This window comes from Homo sapiens, chromosome 4 (assembly GCF_000001405.40).
Source record: "Homo sapiens chromosome 4, GRCh38.p14 Primary Assembly".
In the NCBI taxonomy this organism is placed as follows: domain Eukaryota; kingdom Metazoa; phylum Chordata; class Mammalia; order Primates; family Hominidae; genus Homo; species Homo sapiens.
Window position 1 is genome coordinate 56928644 of NC_000004.12, and position 8055 is coordinate 56936698.

General features: G+C 39.2%; 1 protein-coding gene across 5 annotated transcripts in view; it reads left to right on the forward strand.

Annotated features, from left to right (window-relative positions):
- Positions 1 to 7201, forward strand: part of REST (RE1 silencing transcription factor) — a 27945-nt gene extending 20744 nt beyond the window's left edge. For all 5 annotated transcript variants that reach the window (NM_005612.5, NM_001440532.1, NM_001363453.3 and 2 more), the window contains one exon: positions 1198 to 7201. In NM_005612.5, the coding sequence (NP_005603.3) occupies positions 1198 to 3509 (2312 nt within the window). In that variant the 3' untranslated portion in view covers positions 3510 to 7201. The remainder of the gene's footprint in view (positions 1 to 1197) is intronic.

Below are 8055 nucleotides of genomic sequence, written 5' to 3' on the forward strand. Positions count from 1 at the left end.
GGTGGGATCTCAGCTGACTGCAACCTCCGCCTCCTGAGTTAAAGCAATTCTCGTGTCTCAGCCTCCCTAGTAGGTGGGATTACTGGCATGCAACACCACGCCCAGCTAAATTTTTTTATATTTTTAGTAGAGATGGGGTTTTACTATGTTGGCCAGGCTTGCCTTGAACTCCTGACCTCAGGTGATCCACCTGCCTTGGCCTCCCAAAGTGCTGGGATTTACAGGTGTGAGCTACCGCACCTGGCTGGGAATTTTATGTATTGATTTATTTTTGAGACAGGGCCTTGCTCTGTTGCCCAGGTTGGAGTTCAGTAGCACATTCACAACTCACTGCTACTTCAAATTCCTGGGCTTAAGCGGTCCTCCCGCCTTTGCCTCCCGAGTAGCTAGGACTACAGGTGCACTCCACTATGCCTGGCTAATTTTTTTTTTTTTTTTTTCTTTGAGACACAGTCTCGCTGTCACCTAGGCTGGAGTGAAGTAGTGCGATCTCAGCTCACTGCAACCTCTGCCTCCTGGGTTAAAGCAATTCTCGTGTCTCAGCCTCCTGAATAGGTGGGATTACTGGTGTGCAACACCACGCCCAGCTAATTTTTTTTGTATTTTTAGTAGAGATGGGGTTTCACCGTGTTGGCCAGGCTGGTTTCAAACTCCTGGCCTCAAGGTATCCGCCCACCTTGGCCTCCCAAAGTTAATTTTGTTTTGATTTATTTTGCTCAGGTTGTTCTCTAATTCCTGGGCTCAAGCAGTCCTTCTGCCATGGCCTCCCAGAGAGTTGAGGTTATAGTTGTGAGCCACTGCACCTGGCCAGAATTTTATTTTCTACTCCATTAGGCATTTAACTAAACACACAAAAAAATTTTTAAGTTGATAATATTCCTCCAAATTAACATCCAGAGCCCAATTGAACTTTGCCAATATGTGTATGTCTTAAAGAATCTCTGTTCTTTAGTAGTGCTTGAGGACTCTAACTTGAACTTTTTTGAAGCTTGTGGTTAACTGAGATTTATTCCTCTCTTTTGAGAATCAATGTCAAGGGATAGAGAAATGTTATACAAATAAATATGGTAAATGTAAGGTGCATGATACAGCATTTTAAATAGTCTTTGTTGTTACTTTACATATACAGTTCTTTATATTTTAATCTTGAATTTGTCTTAATCTATGTCTTCTCTCATACTTTTGATTTGCCTTCAGGTGAGAAGCCATTTAAATGTGATCAGTGCAGTTATGTGGCCTCTAATCAACATGAAGTAACCCGCCATGCAAGACAGGTTCACAATGGGCCTAAACCTCTTAATTGCCCACACTGTGATTACAAAACAGCAGATAGAAGCAACTTCAAAAAACATGTAGAGCTACATGTGAACCCACGGCAGTTCAATTGCCCTGTATGTGACTATGCAGCTTCCAAGAAGTGTAATCTACAGTATCACTTCAAATCTAAGCATCCTACTTGTCCTAATAAAACAATGGATGTCTCAAAAGTGAAACTAAAGAAAACCAAAAAACGAGAGGCTGACTTGCCTGATAATATTACCAATGAAAAAACAGAAATAGAACAAACAAAAATAAAAGGGGATGTGGCTGGAAAGAAAAATGAAAAGTCCGTCAAAGCAGAGAAAAGAGATGTCTCAAAAGAGAAAAAGCCTTCTAATAATGTGTCAGTGATCCAGGTGACTACCAGAACTCGAAAATCAGTAACAGAGGTGAAAGAGATGGATGTGCATACAGGAAGCAATTCAGAAAAATTCAGTAAAACTAAGAAAAGCAAAAGGAAGCTGGAAGTTGACAGCCATTCTTTACATGGTCCTGTGAATGATGAGGAATCTTCAACAAAAAAGAAAAAGAAGGTAGAAAGCAAATCCAAAAATAATAGTCAGGAAGTGCCAAAGGGTGACAGCAAAGTGGAGGAGAATAAAAAGCAAAATACTTGCATGAAAAAAAGTACAAAGAAGAAAACTCTGAAAAATAAATCAAGTAAGAAAAGCAGTAAGCCTCCTCAGAAGGAACCTGTTGAGAAGGGATCTGCTCAGATGGACCCTCCTCAGATGGGGCCTGCTCCCACAGAGGCGGTTCAGAAGGGGCCCGTTCAGGTGGAGCCGCCACCTCCCATGGAGCATGCTCAGATGGAGGGTGCCCAGATACGGCCTGCTCCTGACGAGCCTGTTCAGATGGAGGTGGTTCAGGAGGGGCCTGCTCAGAAGGAGCTGCTGCCTCCCGTGGAGCCTGCTCAGATGGTGGGTGCCCAAATTGTACTTGCTCACATGGAGCTGCCTCCTCCCATGGAGACTGCTCAGACGGAGGTTGCCCAAATGGGGCCTGCTCCCATGGAACCTGCTCAGATGGAGGTTGCCCAGGTAGAATCTGCTCCCATGCAGGTGGTCCAGAAGGAGCCTGTTCAGATGGAGCTGTCTCCTCCCATGGAGGTGGTCCAGAAGGAGCCTGTTCAGATAGAGCTGTCTCCTCCCATGGAGGTGGTCCAGAAGGAACCTGTTAAGATAGAGCTGTCTCCTCCCATAGAGGTGGTCCAGAAGGAGCCTGTTCAGATGGAGTTGTCTCCTCCCATGGGGGTGGTTCAGAAGGAGCCTGCTCAGAGGGAGCCACCTCCTCCCAGAGAGCCTCCCCTTCACATGGAGCCAATTTCCAAAAAGCCTCCTCTCCGAAAAGATAAAAAGGAAAAGTCTAACATGCAGAGTGAAAGGGCACGGAAGGAGCAAGTCCTTATTGAAGTTGGCTTAGTGCCTGTTAAAGATAGCTGGCTTCTAAAGGAAAGTGTAAGCACAGAGGATCTCTCACCACCATCACCACCACTGCCAAAGGAAAATTTAAGAGAAGAGGCATCAGGAGACCAAAAATTACTCAACACAGGTGAAGGAAATAAAGAAGCCCCTCTTCAGAAAGTAGGAGCAGAAGAGGCAGATGAGAGCCTACCTGGTCTTGCTGCTAATATCAACGAATCTACCCATATTTCATCCTCTGGACAAAACTTGAATACGCCAGAGGGTGAAACTTTAAATGGTAAACATCAGACTGACAGTATAGTTTGTGAAATGAAAATGGACACTGATCAGAACACAAGAGAGAATCTCACTGGTATAAATTCAACAGTTGAAGAACCAGTTTCACCAATGCTTCCCCCTTCAGCAGTAGAAGAACGTGAAGCAGTGTCCAAAACTGCACTGGCATCACCTCCTGCTACAATGGCAGCAAATGAGTCTCAGGAAATTGATGAAGATGAAGGCATCCACAGCCATGAAGGAAGTGACCTAAGTGACAACATGTCAGAGGGTAGTGATGATTCTGGATTGCATGGGGCTCGGCCAGTTCCACAAGAATCTAGCAGAAAAAATGCAAAGGAAGCCTTGGCAGTCAAAGCGGCTAAGGGAGATTTTGTTTGTATCTTCTGTGATCGTTCTTTCAGAAAGGGAAAAGATTACAGCAAACACCTCAATCGCCATTTGGTTAATGTGTACTATCTTGAAGAAGCAGCTCAAGGGCAGGAGTAATGAAACTTTGAACAAGGTTTCAGTTCTTAGTTTGTAAGGTATATTACATTTTATATTCATTTATGATAGCAGACAACCTTTTAAGATTGCTTTAATTAGTATCTGATGTTGATTTTTAAGTGGCATTCTTTTCCTTAGGACTTTTTATGTATACCTGTTGATTGTTGTGTAAATTTTAGTAAATCTAAGAGAGTGTACTAAACCAGCAGGTATCTGTTAGCTTATGTGTTTAATTGAAATTAGAAGGCTAAGATGGTATAACAGCATTTTATTGCTTTGTCCAGCTACAACTTGTCATTTTTTTCTCCATGTCTTATCTTCCTGTTTCACTTTAGTTTATTCTTCGTTTTTTATTGAGATCTATAAAAAATTGGCTTACTTAATAGCAAATTACTTGAAGAATTTGCCTGCTTTATATAAAGTTAGCACTTTAAGATTTTTTTTTTTAGAGATGAGAAGACATTTAAATTGAAGAAAAATTCCCCCAGCAATAGACAGTCTATCAGTCCAAGTATTTACTTCCTGAGTTTTGATCAATATTTTTTATTTGTGTATGTTAATCGTCATAAAAACAGTGATTTTGGTGTGTTTTTTATTTTGGTGCTTTAATGGCTTAAGATGTTGCACATTTTTTTTTTCTTTTGGTTTCTGTTTATGTTTTTTTGCCTATGCAGTTAAATTTTTCCTAGAAATAGCATTTGTGTTGAACAGTAACACTTTATACATATATATATGCATGTTTATTTTGTTTGGCGTCTTTGGAGGGATGCTTTTAGACTTGTTTGCAAAAGGGCAGTTTTCTTTTTCTTTGCTGCAGTTGTCTATTTTGCAGAATAATAGTGTGTGCAAGTTTGTGAGCAAATGAAATATGCAGGTTCAATCTATTGATTTTGATTTTTACATCTTATATCTATGCCAGAATCTGTATTTCATATAACTTATTTATTTCGAATGGATGTAGTAAATTCACAGCTATCAGTTTTGATTTTGCAATAAATAAACCACTAGGTTGCATGTCGAACAAATTTTTATCTCAAATACCAACCATCAGTTTTTTTTTTCATGTGTTTTGGTACAGCTAATTCCTAATTGTAGAGTGTTAAATGTTTGAGGAGAACCTTTTCTCATAGATGGTTGGTGTTCATATGGCTACTTTACAATAAAGAGAACTGTAAGTGATATTTGGAAACTACAAACCTGGAATTAGGAGATATAATTATTCCTTCAAGTTTTATAGAATATCACTTGGGAGATTCCAAAGCCATAGCTATTACGCGGCAAACCTAGGATAAGAAAGGTAGTATGAGTGCTGGTAGACCAGCTGCAACTTTCCTATACAGTGAAAAAGGCTGGTGAAACAAGTACAGTCCAGATTTTTTAAAATCATACTTTCTCAGGGATCTCCACAAACTGGTGGGTGTCCTGGCTGTCTGTGTGATAGCCTCTTTCTATAGGTGAGGCCTCAAATGAATTGCAGCTATCCTGGTGTTCCTATGAGGGCACTTTGTATGAAAAAGGGCATGTACTCCAAAACATTTTTGTAGGTTCTTTGGCCAGTTGCCAAAGAGTGTGAAAGAATCCAATAGAGGATTTTTCTTACTGATAGCAGTCATTCATTGCAGTAAAATAAAATATGATCCCATTAGGGAATCTTGAATTCTGACCTCCCATACTCCGTTTTGAAATAACCACTTTATATTTCATTTTTTAAAAATCTGATGATCTCTTTGAGGCAGGTTTCAGATTTGGCAGTACAACATGAAAGATTAGGAAAAGCATTAATAACGTGTGGGTGGAAAGCTTGTTAAAAATCTGAGAGTGAAGTTTGAGTTAAAAGTTGTTTGAACATGGCATTGACTGGGAGGCCAAAGATTTAAAGAAGCGGAAGATTCTTCTCTTAAGACATGAGGAGTAAGTTGTGTGATAATGGTATGTGTTTTGTGTGCATGAATGGACATTGTAAATGTTGAATTCTAGGCTCCGACAATCATTGTCAACAGAAGATCAAGCTGCAAATATTTATGTTTTAAAACTTAAATTATAAAGCTAGTTAAGTCTTTCTAATGACTAGTTTTAATGTTCATGGGTACATTTTACCTAAGTTACCGTTTACATTGTATAGAAAAAGATACATCTTAAGCACAGATTGGTTATTAGGAATTAGTTTGGGGAAGAGGTTTTTTTGTGGATTCTTTCATACTGCAAAGAAAAACCATTTGCCTTTTGGGGAATTGAGCTAACTTCTAATCTAGTCTTAAGACTAGAATGCTAAAAACAAAAACATGAAGGAAATTAAAACCCCTTATTATTAAATTGATTTGTAAAAACATTGTTACTGGAAATTTATTGGACTTGAGGCCTTCCTCCAGAAAATAAGGACTTGATTGTCAGGCCTATATTAGGTTCTGAACCTTAATGCCATGTATTTGTACTTACTAAAAATTGTTTCAATGAAAAGTACATTAGCAGTATGAACTTCTGGTCCAGTTGGAAGTTTTTCCATTTGAAAAATGTGATGTTTGCATGGAACTGTTTGAAACTTTTTTATTTTCTAGTCCCCCTCCCCCACACTGGATAGAATTTAGCCTAGAATTTTCCCTTTGGATAAAAGAACAAAAATTGAACATGTTATTTGTAAATTGATGTTTAGTAATTAGTGATAAACTTGAAATACTAGCATATATTATAAGCCTTAATCTTAGGTAGTCTTATGAAAATGAATCTCTTAACTATCTTTTGAACCTGTATTCACATTGGTTTTCAAGATATTTTAAGTTATATTTTTTCCTCTTTTCAGAGCTGCTTCTTATTCTGGGGCTACTTTTTTTTTTAGTTGTGTAATTCACAAAGGGCTGCATTTTTTTTTTTTTTTAATAAGGCTTATAACTATGGCTGGATCTTTTGCTCTAGTCTTCTAAGAAGGGCCATTTTATTTTTTAGAGTCACTTCTAAAGTCATGTGGTAATTAACTTTGGAGACTGTTTTGCGTATGAGTGCTGATACAAATTAAAACCCAAGTAGACCTCATTGCATGTCACCCTATGAATGTTGACAATGGAAGGAATACCTTGCCTGTAGTATACTGTCACTTCTGGATTGATAAGCTGAGGAAGAAAGTTAAGTTTCTTTTTTACATAAGTCAGAAAAACTTACAGCTGGTGTTCCTAGTTTCCTGGTTGACCTCAGCAGATGAAGTGAACAGATAGTGTTAATTCAGATTGAAGAAATTATCTGAATCTTGGTTTGTGTAGATTTACAATCTACATGCAATATTAACTAAATCAGATAGCTTTTACAGTTTCACATGTGTACATAGGTTCCCTCCCGGTCCCTTCCATATCCATTAGTTATTGAACTTTCTAAACTGGCATTGAAACATTACAACAATGTTTTGTTGCACCAATTTTATAAACTTAAGCAGTGCAATACGTGTTACTTTTCTGAGGCAAACCAAAGGTAAATTTCTCAAGGTTCTTGCTGCCTTCTTTAGCAGCATTTGATGGAAGATCTTTTATACATTTGTAATAGATAAAAATAAACCAGATTGCAAATCCTTTTTTAAAATCCTAAACCATGTACCAAGTTTTTGGTCCAAATTATGTAGGATAAGTTAAACTTAAATTGCATTCTATTAACCAATATGAGTGTATTTCTGTAAGCATAGTTATGTTGAAATAAAGTTTTAAAAACCATGATGCCTTTGTTTATTATTGGTATATCCAGAATGTAGGAAAGCCAAATTTATGTTGCTGGAACTGCAAGTGTATTAATAGGCTTTTGAAGATTATTTCTCAGGCTGGGCGCAGTGGCTCACGCCTGTAATCCCAGCACTTTGGGAGGCTGAGGCAGGTGGATCATGAGGTCAGGATTTCAAGGCCAGCCTGGCCGACATAGTGAAACCACGTCTCTACTAAAAATACAAAAATTAGCTGCGTGTGGTGGCAGGCGCCTGTAATCCCAGCTACTCGGGAGGCTGAGGCAAGAGAATCGCTTGAACACAGGAGGTGGAGGTTGCAGTGAGCCGAGATCGTGCCATTGCACTTCAGCCCAGGCGAGAGTGTGAGACTCTGTCTTTAAAAAAAAAAAAAAAAAAAGTATCACAGGTAGAAAAGTCACAGCATGTTGTCTGAGGTAACAGTCCAGTATGGGTAGTAACCCAAAGCATACACTGCTTGATGGGAGGTGCGGGAGAAATTGGACAATTCACACAAGATTTTAAATAGTAATTACTTCCCAACCACAAGTCCCCTTAATAGTTTTCATATGCATATCCCTTTTCAGTAGCAGGCCTGGAATTAGTGAATTTTGATTCATGAAGATGTTTTATTTTATGTATTTATTTTTTTTTGAAACAGTCTCTGTCGCCCAGGCTGGAGTGCAGTGTCATGATCCTAGCTCACTGCAACCTCTGCTGCCCGGGTTCAAGCAACTCTCCTGCCCCAGCCTCGCAAGTAGCTGGGATCACAGGCGCCCACCACCGCGCCTGGCCAATTTTTGTATTTCTAGTAGAGACGGGGTTTCACCACGTTGGCCAGGATGGTATCGA